The sequence below is a fragment of the Homo sapiens genome, chromosome 10 (genome assembly GCF_000001405.40).
Source record: "Homo sapiens chromosome 10, GRCh38.p14 Primary Assembly".
NCBI lineage: Eukaryota > Metazoa > Chordata > Mammalia > Primates > Hominidae > Homo > Homo sapiens.
The window spans coordinates 124,545,745-124,565,093 of NC_000010.11; the positions used below are offsets into that span (position 1 = coordinate 124,545,745).

Here is a 19,349-nt window from a genome sequence, read left to right on the forward strand (position 1 = left end):
ATTTTTTTAATCTTTCCCAAAATCAATACAAACAAACCACAGGCATAATTTGGGTCTGTAAAGGCCGACGCTGTCATTCTGCTGCAAGAGGGAGGGAAGTTCAGTTGGGGGGAAAATGCAGCGCTTTTGCTGTCATTAAGTCCAATGGTGGCTGGCGACAGTCACGGCGCTGGTGGAGCTCAGAGCAGAGGTGGGAGGGGTGGTATTGACCAGGCGTGTGTGTTTCCGGTGTGTGATGTGAGAACCCAGGGCTCGCTGGGATGCTGTCCTCCCTCCCTCCCTCCCTCTGCCAAGCTGGTGGGAAGGCCCTTGCCAAAGCGCACAAGACCCCTTCACACAGCAGGGGCACAAGCTCTTTGAGGCAGAGTCGCCTGCAGGTGGGGTGGAAGGGGTGCGCCCCAGACCCAAGAATCGCCCGCCTCTCCAAGACCATCCCTGGCTGCTGGTGAGCAGGGTAGGAGGGTTGTTGGCACCTGCTGTGGCCGGGGCCGTGCCAGGTCTGTACACATTGTGCTCTTTGCTGGGTGGCAGCCACCACGTATTCTCAAGGGCCTGTGCTAGGCCTCTGGCGGGCCCTGGGTTGTTCCCTTCCTTATGAGCTCCCATTATTAACTAAAGAAGACACTGAATGATCTCATGTGGTTGTATGTTTTTTTGTTTGTTTGTTTGTTTTTTTGAGACGGAGTCTCACTCTGTCGCCCAGGCTGGAGTGCAGTGGCGCGATCTCGGCTCACTGCAAGCTCTGCCTCCTGGGTTCACACCATTCTCCTGCCTCACCCTCCCGAGTAGCTGGGACTACAGGTGCCTGCCACCACGCCCGGCTAATTTTTTGTATTTTTGTATTTTTAGTAGAGATGGGGTTTCACCATGTTAGCCAGGATGGTCTTGATCTCCTGACCTCATGATCCGCCCGCCTCAGCCTCCCAAAGTGCTGGAATTACAGGCGTGAGCCACCGCGCCCGCCTCATGCGGTTGTATCTTGGTGGGTAAGGCAGGTCTTTCTATGACCCACCTGCCAGCCTCATCATCCGTGCTCCCCACCTCACCATGCATGCTTCGGTTGCTGTTTGTCCACAGGCGTACTTACTTTGTTTTATATCAGTTTTTAGATACAAAAATAGTACAGGTAGAATTCGGTATTCTACATTTTCAGGGAATATCACATCACACACACGCTGCTCTTTCACTATGGTTTTCATGTTTTCTGCACCTCTCCCGCTCTTAACCCGCCTCCCACCCAGATTTAGCTCTGTTAACCCTTCAGGCTTCTTTTTCTGCACACACACACGCACACGCGCGCACACACACAGGAGGTTGTCCTGTTTGGTTTTTAGAAATGGAATTGTCCTGTTCCTCTTTGCACCTTGCTCATTTCACTTCATGGTGCGTCCCAGATACCACTTTCTAAGTCACCGGCAGAAGCAGGACCTTGTGCTTCCTGATGGCTGTGAGCTGTCGTGGCGGCACACCTGTCCTCGGTGTGGAGTTCCAGTTCATTCCTGCAGTCCCCTGTTAACAGATGTTTAGACTGTTTCCCTTTTTTCCCCTTTTCATTACAAACAAAAAAAATTGCTTTCTTAAACTTATTTTCATGTTTTTAAACTTTCTAATTTCTCATAAATATTTCAACTTTAGATTCTGTGAGTGAGTCTATTAGTGTCAGGCTTTGCAGAGGAAAGGAAAGTTCTAGAAGAGTCTGCAGCTCGTTCTCCCACCCCCTGCCCCCAGTGTCCACCCACAGAGGTGTGAGCATGCAAATAGGGTGAGCTTCTGTCTCCCGTCTCTTGGGTGTCTTTTCCACCTGGGGCCTCCCTGGGGCCATGCTGGGGGAGTGAAAGGCCCCTCCCTGGAAGCCCGAGGCCCCTGGCCTGGATGCTGTAGCTTGCCTGAAAGCGGAGGAATTCTGGCTGCCTGGTGGAGGTCGGGGCTGGCCCTGCACCGCCAGGAGAAGCAGTCTGAGGGAGGGCTGCTCAGGCTGGACCCAGCCCTGACCAGCGGGGCCATCGGGCGTCCTGGGCCCTGGCAGGATGTCGTTCCAGTGATACAGCACTTCCTTGCTTCTAAACTGCTGAGTGGTCAGTGTCGGTTATCAGCTGTCCACATATATTGCATAATCTCAGATGCTGGCTTGTAACAGTGAGTGGAGGTGGGTGGCCACACTGTCCCTTTAGAATAATCCACATGGCCCTGTCCAGGCAGGGCAGCCTCTGGGCTCCCGCCCACCGCCTGATGCCCCTGTGCCTGGTGAGCCTGGGCCGGGGTGTGTTTGCTGTGGATGGGTGTGTTCCGAGTTCTCCGGTCAGCAAGCTCCCTTTGTCTCTAGGGGAGTTCCTGGGAGGTAAAGGGGAGCCTTTTCAAGCCACAAGATCACCCAGAAAACCTACGTAAGCACTAAAGTTCAGAAAAATCCAGCCAGCCTTGGAGCTGGGGAGACTGCTTCCCTTGGGGCCCGGCCACTCCAGAGCCATTTCCGTGATGGTAAAATGAGTGGGGGCCCCATGCTGCCTCTGCCTCCTGTGAACGCCATCCTCTGGTTCTTCACCTTCAGGCTCCCGCATGAGCTGGGTGGTTGGTGTTAACTCCTCTCTTCTCTCTTTCTACCCGGAACCCCCTGCCCAGAGCTCCAGGGAGCTCCACCATAGCCAGTAGAGGGAGGGCTCTGTTTACCTCCTTCCAAGTTCCCAATTTTGCTCTACTGATTTTTGTCTGCGGTGCATAATCAATCAGCCTGGACCCCAGAGAGGCCTTCTGTCGAGGTGGGTGGGTCTCAGAACGGCAGGCTGCTCCCCCTCCTACCTCGGGGCCCCCACTGTGCACCTGCAGCTGAGGCATGTTTTCTGGGGTTCCTGGCTTTGGCCTGCACGGCTGGGTGGGAGGAGGGCATGGGAGGTGATGCTGCTCACTGAGCAGGGCCTGCTTTGACCACCTCGGGATCAAGAGTCCTGTTAGATGCCCAGGTAGAGACCCTTGCTGGGCGGGCAGGTGGATCTTCGAGAATGGAGCTCCGAGGGACAGGTTGGCTGATCTCAGTGAACCCTGAGGCTTCCCCAAGGCCATACAGCTTGTCTGGCAGAGCCTCAGCAGGAGCCCGGGTCCCCGGACACCGAGGCTAGCTCTTTCTGCTGTGGCCTTCTCACAGACCAAGGTGGGATCGCAGCCTTGGTAGCCTTGAAGTCTCCCTAACCTGGCAAGACAGTGGAGAAGGGGGACAGCCAGCGGGACATTCCACTGTAGAATAAATACATGCATGGCAAAACACTTGACATCTATTAACTTCTAAGTGGCAAGAGTGATTCTTGTGGTTAGACCTGAATGGGAACTTGTAAGTCTAAAGTGAAAATCTAATTAGATTTTTCCCACAAAACAATTTTCCGCAACGCATTGTGGACATAAAGGTTTGATGAATGTATAGCCAGGCACAGTGGCTCACATCTGTATTCCCAACACTTTGGGAGGCCAAGGCAGGAGGATTGCTTGAGCACAGGATTTGAGACCAGCCTGGGCAACATAGTGAGACTCTGTCTCTATAAAAAAATAAATTAGCAGGGCATGACGGTGTACACCTGTAGCCCCAGCTACTCGGGAGGCTGAGGCAGGAGGATCACTTGAGCTCAGGAGTTCGAGGTTGCACCATGATTACACCTGTGAGTAGCCATGCACTCCAGCCTGGACAACACAGCAAGACCCTGTCTCAAAAAAAAAAAAAAGATTTGGCCAATGAATTTTATCAGCTAAACTGGGATATTTAAGAGAAAGGAAGGAACTCCTAATTTCTGAGCCCTGGTTCTGAAAAAGCTTTCTTTTTTCTTTCTTCACTTTAGTCTTGTTAGCAAAACCTTAACAGTTCATAGAAGAAATCATTTTTTACTTTTTTCCCCTTAATCTGAGCACAACATCTGGGGTTGCCATGGTGGTCCATTGGTGGTGATTTGCAGGACGGGACCTTACATCTGGGGAAGGGGCTGCCAGGCTGGGCCTGCCTCTGGCCCTGTGGGCATGGCCGGGGTGGGCATGGCCGGGAAAGGCATGGCCTCCAGAATCAGAGGCCTGGGTTGAATCCTGGCTGAGTGCCTAGTGGGGCACTTTGGGACAAATGACCACCTTTCTGAGCCTTGCTTTTCTCATCTGTAAATGGGGGTGGCAATGCCTACTTAGTTGAATGTTAAATAAAATGAAGTCGTGTCTGTGAAGCACCTGGCATGGTAATCGGTGGCCGTGAGGATGACGCTGGCCTCGCAGGGACTGGGTGGCACAGGTGTCCTGACCTTGGCATGCAGGGTGGATGGGCCAGGCTTCCAGCCAGTGCTGGATCTCAGAGGCCCAGGGGTTAGAGAACTAAGGGCCTCCGAGCCAGGCTCCTCGTTGCAAATGGACTTCTCTCCTTTGCGTGCTGTGAACTGGGCGTGAACACCTCCTGTGATGGGGAGCTCACTCCTTGCCGAGGGAGCCTGGTAAGCTGCCGGCACAGTCATCCTCATACCCTCTCTCCTGACCTGTGTCTTATGGCCTCTGCCCCCAGGCAGCTGCGGGGCAGGGGGCTGGGGTGACCCCCGTCTTGGTTGTTGAGCCCTTCCACTAGCTGGAGGGTGACTGTCCCCCCTTCTCCCCCGACACAAGGCACAGCCTTTCTTGTGGCTGTCAGGAGAGAGGGCCTGTCCTCCTTTGCGCCCACGCTGCCCCTGCGCCTTGTGGCACTGCATTCAAAGTGAGTGCGCCTGCTTTTGTTTCTTCCTAGGACTTCTGAAAACGTGTGGGTGGGGGAGGGTGTGGAGGGTTCGTGCACCGGGTGGTGTGGCTGCAGTGGCGTGGGAGGCGGCCCCAGAGGGGCAGAGGCGCAGTGTGTTTATGTGCACAGGGCCGTTCCCTTCCTGTCCCTCATGTGAACACCAGTGTACAAATGTGTGCACACAGGCGTGTCCCCCGTGCCTTTTCCCTACCTTGGCTGATCGTGGGGAAGATAGACTCACTTCCCCTCTCCAGGCGGCGATTCCGGAAAGGAGGCTCTGGAATGCCAGCTGGGGGCAGGGAAGCCAGGGCAGCCAGGAGGGACCTAGCAGGCCCACAGAGGTCTGGGACAGCTGAGCCCTCCTGCCCACGGCCCTGCCATCCCTGTGTGTCCCCAAGGTAACGTCCAAGCTCTGCAGCAGGGACCAGCCCTGGGTCCCACAGAGGAGGCTGGTCCAGGTGGTGGACTAGAGCTCCGCTTGTGCCAGCCTAGGTGCAGAGGCCCGGCCCAGCCCTTCCTAACCTTGCCGTCCTGGGCCAGCTGTTCGGTCTCTGCGTGCCTGTTTCTACACAACCCATCTGTAAAATGGGGCCATGGGAGCCACCACCTCCCCCAGGCCTGTCGCCATCACTGGCACCTCCACCAGCATTAGCACCAGTGTCTCCATGAAGTTGGGGTTCCTGGGGAGATGGCTCCCCCCAGCCTCGCCTCCTCCCTGCCTCAGAGACTGCGCAGAAGGAGGGCAGCTGGGCTGATGAGCAACTCGCCTGGGGCCCCAGAGAGGCCCGATCCCATCCCGCTGGGGCACGCCCCAGGTCCAAGCCTGTCTGGGCACCCCCAGGGCTCTGGACTCACCTCCACCCCTCCCTCTGCATCCTTGGTGGTGACACCATCAGCAAGTTTGGCACCCCCGGCCCTCACACTGACCCCAGCACCCCTTCCCCAGGCTCTGGTGGACTCCTTGCTCACGCTGCCTGCTCTGCAGGGTGGGGGCGGGGGGGCAGAGCCTGCCAGCCCCTCCCACACTTCCCTCACCAGATCACAGGACCCTCGGGGTGGAGGCTGGTGCGTGGGGAGGTAAGGGTCAGGTGGTGGGAGGCCATCCTCAGCAGGGGTCCCAGAGTGGGAGACCCAGAGCTTTAGGACCCCACCATGCGGAGGGGCCAGGGTCCCTGGGATGGGGAGAGGCCTCAGCCAGGGTGAGCAGAAGAGCTGCAGCCCCTGAGACCCGCGGGCTTGGCCGGCCCCCCGGGAAGAAGACCCACAGCTGGGAGGGCAGTTCATGCAGGGCACCCTCCCCTCCACCTGCCGGCCTTGGGGAGCACCAGGCAAGGCTCCCTGGGGAGCAGGGCTGCCACCTCTGACCTCGCTCCAGCCTGACCTCACCACGGAGGCGCACGCAGGATGTCCGCAGGCCCCCGGGTGGCAGCTTCCTACAGTGCTTTTCCACCAGGGACCGTGCTGAGGCCCAGGGCCCTGAGACCCTCAGGCCCATCACAGCCTCCCCACTGAGCACAGGCACGTCCATCCCCTCCCCTTCTCCACCTGTCACCTGTCTGTCTTCCAGGCTTCGTGGGACTTCCCAGTGCCCCATTCCTGCTTGTCAGAAGAGGGGCTGGGAGAATGGCAGGGCCTGGCACTCCAGGCTGCCCCTGCCCTCCTGCGCTCTTGCCCTCCAGCCTTTCCCCACCCTGGAAGTGAGTTCATGATGTTAATGGCAGCAGCAGCCATGGTGCACCAGGCACTCTGCTAAGCACTTTATGTACATTCTTAAATTACCGGATCCCCATTACGGAAACGGAGTCTTAGGTTGAAAAACTACTTGACCAAGGTCATCCCAGCTGTAAGTGGCAGAGCAGGCCCTGAATCCAGGCAACCCAGGCTGATCACCACCCTGCCACCACCCACCCCTCTCTCACATACAGGCTCTAGGCCTCCTGTCTATACTGGAATCCCCCACAGCAGATCCACATGGAGCTGTCTAAAGAAGCACCTGCCCCTCCCCCAGACAAGGCAAGAAAGCCATCTCTACCTGGAGGGAGAGCAGTGAGGGGCATCATTAATGGGCTGTTGGGTGTCCTGATTTCTTTGAGAGAAGACGAGCTGAGCAGGCACAGCTCTTAATCCTCCAGCCACTGCCCCCCAGGCTGGGGCCTGCCAGCCCCCGCCCCTGTAGTCATTTCTAAATCGGGTCTAGATGGACTGGACGCGTGGCTGCCAGAGACCATTTGAACCCCCTACCTCCAAATTCCCCAAGGTCCCCGCCTGCAAAGGACCAGCCCCAGCATGAGGCCCTGAAAGTGGCAACATTTCAATAGCCTATCCTGGACAATCAGGACGATCCCTTTACTAATTTATATGCTATACGTTTGGGGTTTAATTGGAGCGTAATTGTAATCCATATGCTGTTAAGGTAATTACACTTATAAACCTAATATAATCCATAGATCAATGGGTTTGGAGCTAATTAAGGCAACCGTAATTAACATTTACCAAAAACCTTGCAATTACTGGAATATCCTTTAAGCTGGCCTTCCGAGCTGATAATGAGCGCCGCTCAGCGCTCCGCGGCCTCCTAGCGTGTCTTTATTCTGCACAAGGGGGCCTTCTGGGGACCTCGATGTTGGGAGGGCAGTCAGTGCCTGCTTTTAGCACCCAGGGACTCTGATCAGGGACCCAGCTGATGAGTGGCAGCACCATGGGAAGCCAGGTCCCTGTGACTTGGCCATCCCCAGAACACGGCTGATTTTCTGGCTCAATAGACTCAGCCTGACAAAGGGGAACTTGGAGAAAGAGAACAAGAAATCCATATGCTGAGCTGGGACAGAACCCAAGTGGGGTTCTCATGTGGGGAGCATATGGGGCTTTCCTCCTGCCCACCCCCTGCACCTGCAGCCAGGATGCACCTGAGCTCGGACTGCCCTGAAACCCCAGGAAAATCCCAACAGCGGCACCATAGGGCCAGGATTACAGCCATTCTTTTTTTTTTTTTTTTTTTTTTTTTTTGAGACGGAGTCTCGCTCTGTCGCCCAGGCTGGAGTGCCGTGGCACAATCTCAGCTCACTGCAAGCTCCGCCTCCCGGGTTCACGCCATTCTCCTGCCTCAGCCTCCCGAGTAGCTGGGACTACAGGTGCCCGCCACCACGCCTGGCTAATTTTTTGTATTTTTTAGTAGAGACAGGGTTTCACCGTGTTAGCCAGGATGGTCTCGATCTCCTGACCTTGTGATCCGCCCGCCTCGGCCTCCCAAAGTGCCGGGATTACAGGCGTGAGCCACCACGCCCGGCCTACAGCCATTCTTGAATGTTGTATGACTCCCGGTGATATTGTCACCTTGGGAGCTGCACAGAGACCTCCCCCGGGCCAGGCCCCTCCTCTGTCTGCAGAAGGAGGTAAGGGGCCCACCACATCTGTCTTACCACAGGCTAAGCTGTTGGCATCTGTTCTTTTCCTGCTCCAGGAGGGACAGAGCCCCCCTGTTGTCCTTGCGGCACCATGCTCTGGGAACTGGGCGCTCCTGTGGACAGCTCCATGTGAGTCTTCTTCGAGAGACTCCACTGCAGATAGAAGAAGGCCTCGAGCCTGTAGTTGCGGGGCGGTGGTCAGCCTGGGCTGCCTGGATTCAGCTCCTGCTCTGACATTTACAGCTGGGACGACCTGGGCCAGGTAGAGGTTTTTCAACCTAAGACTCAGTTTATTATGTATTTATTCATTTATTCATTTTATTTATTTATTGACAGGGTCTTGCTCTGTCACCTAGGCTGGAGTGCAGTGGTGCAATCATGGCTCACTGCAGCCTTGACCTTCTGGACTCAAGTGATCCTCCCACCTCCGCCTCCTGGGTAGGATGCATGCCTGAGGTGGGACTACTGGCATGCACCACCACACCGGCTAGTTTTTAAAATTCTTGCAGAGACAGGGTCTCCCTGTGTGGCCCAGGCTGGTCTTGAACTGGGCTCAAGTGATCCTCCTGCCTTGGCCTTCCAAAATACTGGGATTACAGGCATGAGCCACTACACCCGGCCTGGACTCAGTTTCTATAATGGGATATGGCAGTTTAATAATGTGCATGCAGTGCTTAGCCTAGTGCCCGGTGCAGAGCCACTGCTTCATTAATGCTGCTGCTGCTGTCCTTGTCATCTCTATCATTGACAGCCCTAGACGAGCTGAAGGGGTGGGCCCAGGTGGGAGGGGCCAGGTGGGCGGGGCCAGGTGGGCTGTCTGCACCTCGCTTACTCCTGGGTGGGCTGTTAGCTTGGCGGGTCCCAGGGCTCACTTTTGCCCCATCATCATTTCTGTACACTTTTTCCATCTCTGGGCCTTAGGGCCTTTCCAAAGACTTTGCAACTCTGGCAGATATTTCTAGACAGAATTAGGTTCTTTAACGAAGGAATGAGGCAAATGTGGACAGGAGATTGTTCATAATTGCGGCTGTCATTTATTGAGCACCTGCTGTGTGCTCTTAGCCTCTGGGCTAAACACTGCACAGACATAATTCACTGATTGCCAACAGCAGCTTTATGCGGCTGGCATTTTAGTCTCACTTTAGGGTGAGGAAACTGAGGCTCAGAGAGGCTGAATCACTGGTTTGAGTACGTCCAGCGAGAGGGCAGCTGGGCCAGGATTTGAAGCCAGCCATTCTCAACACCACTGTGCTCTCTGCCTCCCGAGTGGAGGCCCTGACCCCTTTGCTCTCTTCCTGGGTGGGCCAGTGGGGATGGGTGAGGGGTGAGTGTGTCAATGTTTCCCTCAGCCCAGTAGTGGAGAACAGGCAGGGTGGGCGAACTCCTGGCTGGACCACAGCCACAGGCCTGCAGGAGGCACCCTTGCCAGGGCGAGTGAGCACTGTAGTCTGGGAGACCCTAGAGTGAGATGGGGGCTCTACAAGGCACAGCTCCTCCCTGGAGGAAGGGAGGAAGGGAGGGTCCCTGCCTTACAGGGCCTGGCCCTCCCCACTTGTCCAAAGCCCGGCTGGGTCCTGGTGTGTCAGCGCTTTGCAGTACACCCTGTGCTACCCACCCAACCTGTGTCCCCGTCTGATCTCCCTGGACCCTCCCACAGCCTGGGAAGGGTCCCCCAGCTGTGAGGTCAGCATGGGGGACCTTGCTCTGCAGAGGGCACCTGTAGGGCTGGCCTTATTGGAGTCCCTCCTTTCTAGGCCCACAGTCCTGCGCTGCCTGGTGTGCGGGGCCTGAATGTCATTGTTTCATATATTTTATCTGATTTTCTAGTTGCTTTAAGGTACTTTGTCTATCTTGACTGTTAGGCTCTTTATTTTTCAAAAAAAAATTCAATATAATAGTTTGCATTTTTTCTTATTGATAATAAAACCACTGACATTATTGAGCTCTTGTTCTGGGCTCAGTTCTGCCCCGAGCTGTTTGTACATGTTACCTTGCTGAACCTGCACCCAAGTCCTCAGGCCATATTCCCCCTTACAGATGAATGAAGTCACTGGCCCGAGGTCACACAGCTGGGACGTAGTGCAACCAGGCTGGGCCCTAGCTGGTTGACCCCAGTGCCCACTATTTATTTGGTGCTTACATGCACTGGCTCATTTTGTCTCTACAGCCTTGCAAAGGCCACAGTTATGAGATGGCAGAGGTGGTATTCAAATTCAGGCCCCTAAACTTGTGTCTGTGTTCCCTCTTGAAAACTTCAGTAAACTGAAGAAGTGAAAGGCAGAGGGTAAACCACCGACCAGCCCACCATCCAGAGGTGACGGTGACCTCTGATGCCGCTGGGTGTCCACCTTCCAAACTGTGTGCACAAATGTGTCCTCTGTGTTCTAGTCCACAGGTGAGGTCAGGAGCACAGGCTGTTTTGGGACATCTCTTCCCAGTGCCCAGTTCCAGAACACCCTTCCAAACCACCGTGCATTCTCCGGGGCCATCGTTTTAATGGCTGCACCCTGCTCCCGCGTGTGGACGCATCCTAAACAGTCCCTTAGTATTATGGTTAGATGCTCCATGTGTTTCCAATTCTTCATTATTGTAAACCCAACTGCATTGCTCATCCTTGTAGCATAGCTTTGCACTTATTTTGGATTTTTGCTTTAAGATAACTTCTCACACATGGAATTGCTGGGTCAAAGGGTATGCAAAATTCTAAGGTGTTTGGTACTTCTGCAGAATTCTCCCTCCAGACATCAAGTTGCTCTCCCATCTGCACTGTGGATAATTCTGCAACTCTCGACACCCTCACCAACAAATAACACCGAGGACTAGCAGTGTCATTTTTAAAACGCGCCTCCATCAATGGGAAAAGAATGGGATCTTCTTTGATTGATAATGAGACTAAAGGCTTTTTCTGTCTTCCTCAGTCGCTGATATTTGTTTCTTCTATAAATTGCATATTCATATCCTTTCTCAGTCTTTTTTGTATGTTTTTTAAACGAAGGCTCTTCTTTAATGGGAAATCTGCATTTCATCAAAGATGGAGCGCAGAGTCTGTGGTTCATTTATTCTCTGGAGAAGATGCTTCTTTTTTGTTCTCTAACCAATCAGAGACCAGCCTGAAGATGCTAGCAAATTAATTTCAGGCGCACGAGACAGGCGGTCGGTGCTCATGAGGATCCTGGCTGAGGAAATCACATTTTAGTCCCAACTCCTCGAAGTGTTGAGGCCGCCTGGAGTCCACGCGGACCAGGGTTCAAATCCCCACTCGGCCACTTCCTAGCAGCATGACTTTGGGATGTCCCTCAGCCATCAGAGACTTCACTTTCTGGGCTGTACCATGAGGTGTTGGTGTGCAGTTTAAAGGAAGTTTGGACGGCTGTGGTGTGGATAGTTCTGAGTGCTCAGTAGGCAGACCTGGTTTTGAGCTGATAGAGAAGGCCCACGCGAACGGGCAGAGCTGGGCCTCGCCAGGGCCTGGCACTCAGTAGTGCTCACCAAATGCCTGTTGCACAAGGGATGGTGCCCAGGTAACCTGGGTGAGCTACAAACCAGAGCCGCTGGACGAGTTCCAAAGGGAACTCGGGCGCACTAGCCCCCTTTGTTTGTGTTTGGAGTGGGAGTCACCGTATAGCTTTATTTGATTACTTTTTACCCAAATCCCCATATCCTCAGGAATTCAAGGACAAGGATACATAACAAAATGATTTTTGTCTCAGAGTAAATCACAGTCCACTTGGAAAATCTCCATCCTAGAGGAGGGTGAGGGTGCAGGTCTTGGGGTGAGGCTGGGGATGAAGCCTCCCATGACTTTGTGGTTACCCTGCTGGTGGGCTCACTCCCTGCAGGGCCATTGGTGGAGTCACATGATGCCAGGCAAGGCTGGCCAAGCAGGGTACAGAGCACACTGGGGGAGGGATGGCTGCACAGGCGTGGACCGTGGGGGATCCAGGGTAGGGATCCCACCTGGGGGTCTTGGGCTGAGTGGTGGAGCGTGTTGCCTGAACACATGAGCCCGTGGACATCTAGTGAGCTTAGGGCATGGCAGGGGTGGGGTGCGTTGCCTGCAGCCTGGGGCGGCCTCGGCTCCTTCATGTCAGCGCGTCCTGACACCGTGACACTGCGCATGGTCACATGGAGCCTGTCCTCTTGTATCTGCTTCATCTCTGGCTTTCCTGTCCATCTGCCTGGTGCTTTGGAGGGTGTACCAGGCTGTGAGGGAGAAGCAGCCACGTGGCTCCGTTTTCTTGTGCTGCAGCTGGGCCAGCAGATCTAGGGGAAAGGCCACTTCCTAGTGGCCTTTCTGGTGGGAGGGAGTCATAGTGATGAGTCTGGAAGCTGAGCCCTGGCTTGGGAGCAGCTGGAAAGGCTGCCTGTGGCCTCCCTGAGTGGACGTCCTCTAGCAGTTGTTCAGCCTCCCTGTCCCCAGCCAGCCACCACCTAGTTGGCACTCCCAGTGGGCCCCACGAGCCGCGTGTTGCTATGCACAGCCCTTACGAGAATCCCACTTTCCAGATGAGGGCGACAGGAGGAGGAAGCATCACTCACTTGCCCAAGGTCCCACCGGCAAGGGGCTCTGAGTCTGGACGTGGCCCTCTGAGCTGCTCTGTCCCCGCTTGGCGTTGGAGCGTCTCAGCCTCTCCCAAGAGTGTGTGCCCTTGTGTCGCTGGTTCAGAAGCCAGAAGGCTTCCAGGGGCAGACCTAGGCAGAAGCCCTGAGTGGGCATCCTGGTCAGCCCTGTGGGGGTTGGGGGCCAGTGGGCAGGGGCACTCACCATGCTACCCAACCCCCCATGGCACCCCCAATGTGGAACGCACGGGCTCAGGACTCACTTTTATTTTGGTAGAGCTTGGAGTCCCCATTTCCATGTTTTGTTTTTCTTTACAGTCCCAGTGTCAAGCTTAGTAGGACACAGATGTCTCAGCAAACAAAACTAGGAGCCATCCGAGCAGGCCCCTGCGGCCATATGCATTCCCATGCGTAGCGAAACCAGGCCCTCTTGCCAAGCACTCTTTGGGAGGATATTTGGAAAAAATGTCAAGGCATTCATTTTTCTCTCGACCTTTTCTGTTGGAATCGTGGGGCCTTAACACTGGAAGTAAAAGGAGTTATAAGACACAGCTGGCTTCCTGCACCCGGGACAGCCCCAGTGGCCAGGCCTGGCCCTATTCTCCCATCTGGCCCTCGGTGGTTTCTGCAGAGGTTACCATGCACAAGGGCCAGGCCGCGGCCCCCACCTATGTGCAAAGAAGTTGGCAATGATGTCCAGGTAGCAGGTGCAGCGGGCAAGGTTTCTACCCCCAGGCTAGTTAAGGACACAGGAGACTCGAGGAGGGAGAGGACCAGCAGAGGACACTCTATGGGGGTGGCTTCTGGCAAAACAGTGCTATCTGAAGATGAGTTTGAAGTTAGGAATGTTTGCTGAGTTGGCCTGGATATTGGAAGTGCCCTTTCTTTTGAGCCCTTTGGCTCTCTTGGCGTTGACCATCTGCTGGTGGAACATGGGTGGGCTCCCAGAGCACCTGCCCCTGTGGTGTATACCAGCTGGATCTCAGCTACACCTACGGACCTGCACTGGTATAGATTTGGGTCCCAGGTTCCCCACCAGGGGCCTGGCTGGCTTCCCCAGGTCCACACCCTTCCAGCGAAGTCACATCACAAGTTGTGTGGAAATGGAGGTCACCACCCTGGCCACAGAGGTGAGGCTGGTGAGGCCCAGAGTGTACCTGTTGGGGATGCTGCAACACTTGGAAATCCGGCTGCCCGAGGCTGGAAGCCGTCTTGCTGCGTATGTCACGTAGGATAATGAGTGGACTCTTTTCTCAGTCCTGGAGGACTTCCTCGGCCAGTCTGGAGTAAGCCATGGCTGGGGAGATCAGTTCTTGGAAGTGCTGGGTTTTCCTGCATCTTTGGTCCTTTGGTGGCACAGGCCTTCCCTTGCAGGCCTTTGGCACCTGTCTGGGGTGTGTGCCATTGGCTCAGTAGCCCATGGGCAGTAAGTTCCGTGGAATCAGGCACATTTTCAGCCAGCGCTGCCAAGTGCTCCCTGCAATGGTGTTGCCACCTGAGGTGCCACCCAAAGCAGAAAACCCTGGGGCTGGGCAAGACAGCAGCTTTCAGGAGCTGGGAGGAGGCATCATTTCCACTTTCCAGGCCCTGCGATCTGGTTTGTAGCCTGTACCAGGGCACTGGAGTCCTGCCTTGGCACAGCTCATGGTCTAGAGGAATAACCTCAGGTCCAGGTGAGACACTCAGCCTGTGATGGCTTCATATGGTCACTACGTTGTTGTATATGGAGAGAGGACTCTTTCTTGGTTTTAAATTTTGTTTTTAATTTTATAAATGTAATATATTCACATGGAAAATTTGGAAATTATAAACAATCAAAAAGAAGCAGCTAAAAAAAGTCCTTTCATAATCCACCGGCAACATCAGTTAACATGTGGCATATTTCCTTCCCGTCTCCTCCACTCCCATTTTTTTTGGACTTCTTAAACATAATTGAGATTGTGTTTTATGTACAATTTTATAGCATGTACTTGTTAGCTTTGAAACAGACCCATCTGCGTTTGCAATTTGGCCTGCAGGGAAAAGACCAGATTGCTGAGTCTTAGCTAAAGCTGTGGGAGAAGGAAATCTAAAAATACCCTCCTCGTTGGCCTGCTCAGGGAGCGCCGTGGCCTCTTGTTCTCCTCCCTGTCAGTACAGCAGAATTAGCCATGACTCAGAGTGGGTCTCCGTGGTGATTCTGCCTCTAGAGAACATGCCGTGCTCCCGACGTCAGGCTCACAGGTGAGCGGGGGCACTAGCCGGGGACGAGGGGCTGGAGCCTGGCCGGCCCAACTACAGAGGGGCCTGGGGTTTGGCTCCTGCCGGAGGAGCCCCTCTAGGGCTCTCCGGGGTCTTCTGCAGAGCGAACACTTTGAGGGGAGCATCTGTCAGAGACACATGATGCTTCTTCACCCAAAGCCCCACCCTGGCTGCAAGAGGAGAAAATCAAAACCGTGAAGAGCATTTTAGAGACTTCCACTTCCAGCAAGATGGAGCAGAAGTGCCTTTCCCTATTCCTCCTGCCAAGTGCAATGAAAAACCCTGGACGTCAGTTATGAAACAAACAGAAGAGGCTGAAAGGAAGAGAGGAGAAGGCAGACTGACCAGGGACCTCAGGACCTGGGGATCAGTGGAGGGGTGAATTCCCTGGGTTTCCTTTGTGCCTTGCACATCTCAGACGTGGAGCTGAAGAAGCCAGCAAGAGCCTCTGCAGAAGCCTGCTCTCCCTGGCTGAAGGACCAAGCCAGGGGCACCTGGCGAGACAGAAAACATTTAGGCAATAACTGTGGTACTCCAGCCAAACACCACAGAAAACCCTGTGGCCCCCTCAGCTACTCGTGCCAGCAAGGGCTCAGCAGGGATCCTGGACCAAAACACTGACCAGGCTGAAATGAGCCCCTACCACTGGGGGTGTCAGAGAAGGCCAAGGAGGGAGCCAGGAGCAGGGTGGGAATGAGGTCCCCCAGCTGGAGCATCAGTGGAGACCACATGGTAAGCCTGTGCTTCCCCTAGTCAGTGGTGACAAGACATCCCTTCCCCTCCCACTGGACGGGCAGCATCATACTGAAGAGTCAGGACTTCATCGCCACTCAGAGGTTACAAGGCTATCCGCCCCCCCCACAACAGTGACAATGGAGCCCGCATGGGACACAGTAATGAGGGATTCCTGCACCTCCCAACCAGGGGAAAACTTCCTCCTTGAAGAGCAGTAATGAGAGCACCTCCCCCACCTCAGTGTCAGCAGAGGCCAAGTGGGGAACCTGGACGTCCACCCCACCCAAGCAGAATAAGGCAGCACTACCCTCTTCCCCTGCCTGAGTTGTGTCCAGAGAAGGCCACTGAAAGGGAAGGTTTAAATAAGACTCAGAGTCTCACACCACACACCCAAAATGTCCAGCTTGTGGTACAAAACCACCTGTCATGCTAAGAACCAAGGAAACCCCAACATGAATAAGAAGAGAAGACCAACAGACACCAGCACTGAGATGACACAGATGTCAGGGCAAAGACTAAAACAGCTACTGGAAAAATGCTTCAACCAGCAATTGCAAATATGCTCAAAACAAATGACAAAGTAGAAAGTCTCAGCAAAGAAATAGAAGATACAGGGCCAGGTACGGTGGCTCATGCCTGTGATCCCAGCACTTTGGGAGGCTGAGGTCGGTGGATCACTTGAGCCCAGGAGTTTGAGACCAGACCTGGGCAACACAGGGAGACCTTGTCTCTACAAAAATTAAAAAATTAGCTGAGCATGGTGGCACACACCTGTAGTCTCAGCTACTTAGGAGGCTGAGGTGGGAGGATCACCTGAGCCTGAAAGGTCAAGGTTGTAGTGAGCTGAGATCACGCCACTGCACTCCAGTCTGGGCAACAGGGTGAGACCCTGTCTCAAACAAACAAACAAACAAACAAATAAATAGAAGATACAATGAAGAGCCAAATGAAAATTTTAGAACTGAAAAATACAGTAGCCAAAATAGAAAACTCCATGGATGGGTTTGACAGCAGAATCAAGGGGACAGAGGAAAGAGTCTGTGAACTTGAAGGCAGGAAAATAGAGATGACCCAATCAGAACAGAGAAAAAATAGACTGAAAAGAATGAACAGACATTTCACCAAAGATGATATCCAAATAGCAAATAAGCACATAAAAAGATGTCATGAGTCACTAGGGTAACGCAATTTAAAGCCACAATGAGACATCACTACACACCTATCAGAATGGCTAAAATAGGCCAGGCGTGGTGGCTCACAGCTGTAATCCCAGCATTTTGGAAGGCTAAGGTGGGTGGATCACTTGAGGCCAGGAGCTCGAGAACAGCCTGGCCAACATGGCAAAACCCTGTCTCTATTAAAAATATAAAAATTACCTAGGCATGATGGTGCTCGCCTGTAATTCCAGCTACTTGGGAGGTTGAGGTGGGAAGATCACTTGAACTGGGGAGGCAGAGGTTGTAGTGAGCCGAGATCATGCCACTGCACCTCAGCCTGGGCGACAAAACAAGAAAGATACCATCTAAAAAAAAAAAGAAAAAAAAAAAGAATGACTAAAATAAAAAATGCCGATGAGAACAGTGAGAATCTGAATCACTCAGACATTGCTGGTGAGAAGGTAAAATGATACAAATGCTCTGGAAAATAGCTTGGCAGTGTCTTAAAACTCTAAATGTAAAACTGTCACATGACTCAGCCATGGTACTCCTGGGCAGTTATCAGAGAAATGAAAAATTATAATTTACACAAAAACCTATACACAAATGTTCGTTGCAGTTTTATTGATAATAGCCCCAAACTAGAAGCAATCCAGGTGTCCTTCAGTGGGTGACGAGAGGAACTACATCCATGTCATGCAATAGTACTCAGCAATAAAAAGAAACAATCTCTCTCTCTCTTTTTCTTTTTTTTTTTTTTTGCATAAAATCCAGATCCTGCAGAAAAAAGAAACAAATTTGATACTCACAATGACTTGGATGGACTCCCAGTGAAAAAAGCCTATCCCAAAAGGTTATGTACTTTCTGATTCCATGTATAGAACATCCTCAAAATGACAAAATTCTATCATGCAAAACAGATACTGTTGGATGGGGTGGGGCGGGGCAGGAGGGCAGTGGGCGTGGCTATAAAGAGCAGCCTGAGGGGTCCTGGTGGTGATGGAAAGCTTCTTTATTTCACTGTATCAATGTCAATTGTTGACTTTGATATTGTTCTATAGTTTTGCAATATATTACTGTTAAGAGAAACTGAGTCAGTGGCGTTCTTACAACTGCATGTGAATCTCCAATTAGCCCCAAATTAAAAGTTTACTAAAGCAACAATTGAACAAGAAAAAGAAAAGCCTTTGTACCTAGCAACCCAGAATGCCTATGATAAGTGGCAGGAGCTGATGACAGGCGTTCTTGGTTCAGAACAATGACAACTCTGGGACAAGCATGCCGCTGGGAGAAAGAGACCAGGAGCTGCACAGCCAGACAGATGCTTTTGCAGTGGGATGGCAGTGGGGAGTTGGAATGGTTCATCATTTACTTTTTATATTTAACACTTTTTTTTTTAAGAGATGGAATGCTCTGTCACCCAGGCTGGAGTGCAGTGGTATGATCGTGGCTCACTGCAACTTCGAACTCCTGGGCTCAAGCGATCCTCCCACCTCAGCCTCCTGAGTGGCTGGACCTACAGGTGCACATTGAAGCACCCAGCTGATTTAAAAAAAAATTTTTTTTTTTTTTTTGAGACGGAGTCTCGCTCTGTCACCCAGGCTGGAGTGCAGTGGCGCGATCTTGGCTCATTGCAACCTCCACCTCCCAGGTTCAAGTGATTCTCCTGCTTCAGCCTCCCGAGTAGCTGGGACTACAGGCACGCAGCACCACACCCAGCTAATTTTTTGTATTTTTAGTAGAGACAGGGTTTCACCATGTTACCCAAGATGGTCTCAATCTCCTGATCTCGTGATCTGCCCACCTTGGCCTCCCAAAGTGCTGGGATTGCAGGCGTGAGCCACCGCGCCCGGCCAATTTTTTTTTTTATAGAGACGAGTCTCACTGTGGTGCCCAGGCTGGTCTTGAACTCCTGGGCTCAAGTGATCCTCCCACTTCAGCCTCTCAAAGTGCTGGGATTACAGGTGTGCCCCACCGTGCCCAGCCTCGGATTGTCATTTAGCGGTCTGTCTGAACATCAGTCTCCTGACGTCCTTCCTACAGATATGAACAGAGCCCCTGCTAGGCATGAGTATTCGGAGCATAAGCTCCTGGTTCCCCAGTGAGAGACGGATGTGTAAGGAGGCAGTCTCAGGGTAGGATGTTGAGTCTGGGCTGGGGACAGTGCACTGTGCCGTGGAATTATGGAGAGTTTTTCCTCCTATCTCTAAGTCCAATGTGTGGCATGGTTATATTACATTTTTAGGATGGAAAAGTTATACCATATATTTAAATGAATTAACAGCATTTGCAATGATCTGGATGAGATTGGAGACTATTATTCTAAGTGAAGTAACTCAGGAATGGAAAACCAAACATCTTATGTTCTCACTGATATGTGGGAGCTAAGCTATGAAGACGCAAAGGCATGAGAATGATACAGTGGACTTTGGGGACTTGGAGGAAGAGTGGGAGGGAACGAGGTGTCCTTGTCCAGCAAGCGCTCTGTGTGAGGCTCCATGCATCTTTATGCATTCTGCTCTGATG

General features: G+C 53.1%; 1 protein-coding gene across 7 annotated transcripts in view, besides 5 other annotated features; it reads left to right on the forward strand.

Annotated features, from left to right (window-relative positions):
• Positions 1-19,349, forward strand: part of LHPP (phospholysine phosphohistidine inorganic pyrophosphate phosphatase) — a 152,319-nt gene that overhangs the window by 83,922 nt on the left and 49,048 nt on the right. For 2 of the 7 annotated variants that reach the window (XM_017016509.2, XM_017016512.2), the window contains 2 exons: positions 8,187-8,392; positions 10,519-11,092. The exons of the other annotated variants lie outside the window; for them this stretch is intronic. In XM_017016509.2, the coding sequence (XP_016871998.1) occupies positions 8,187-8,392; positions 10,519-10,627 (315 nt within the window). In that variant the 3' untranslated portion in view covers positions 10,628-11,092. Of the gene's footprint in view, positions 1-8,186; positions 8,393-10,518; positions 11,093-19,349 lie in introns of those variants that run through there. 7 annotated transcript variants of the gene reach the window in all.
• Positions 2,172-2,341: an enhancer, noted in NCBI's record as "experimental_10867 CRE fragment used in MPRA reporter constructs". NCBI's record gives its function as "activates a minimal promoter by MPRAs in K562 erythroleukemia cells, with activity observed for both the introgressed and non-introgressed 10:126236570 variant alleles {active_cell/tissue: K562}" and the evidence as "EXISTENCE:reporter gene assay evidence [ECO:0000049][PMID:34662402]".
• Positions 5,392-5,561: an enhancer, noted in NCBI's record as "experimental_10870 CRE fragment used in MPRA reporter constructs". NCBI's record gives its function as "activates a minimal promoter by MPRAs in K562 erythroleukemia cells, with activity observed for both the introgressed and non-introgressed 10:126239790 variant alleles {active_cell/tissue: K562}" and the evidence as "EXISTENCE:reporter gene assay evidence [ECO:0000049][PMID:34662402]".
• Positions 5,392-5,572: a biological region, named in NCBI's record as "Neanderthal introgressed variant-containing enhancers experimental_10870 and experimental_10871".
• Positions 5,403-5,572: an enhancer, noted in NCBI's record as "experimental_10871 CRE fragment used in MPRA reporter constructs". NCBI's record gives its function as "activates a minimal promoter by MPRAs in K562 erythroleukemia cells, with activity observed for both the introgressed and non-introgressed 10:126239801 variant alleles {active_cell/tissue: K562}" and the evidence as "EXISTENCE:reporter gene assay evidence [ECO:0000049][PMID:34662402]".
• Positions 13,502-14,482: an enhancer, noted in NCBI's record as "H3K4me1 hESC enhancer chr10:126247815-126248795 (GRCh37/hg19 assembly coordinates)". NCBI's record gives its function as "activates a minimal SCP1, AML or CMV promoter by ChIP-STARR-seq in naive H9 embryonic stem cells {active_cell/tissue: H9 hESC(naive)}" and the evidence as "EXISTENCE:reporter gene assay evidence [ECO:0000049][PMID:30033119]".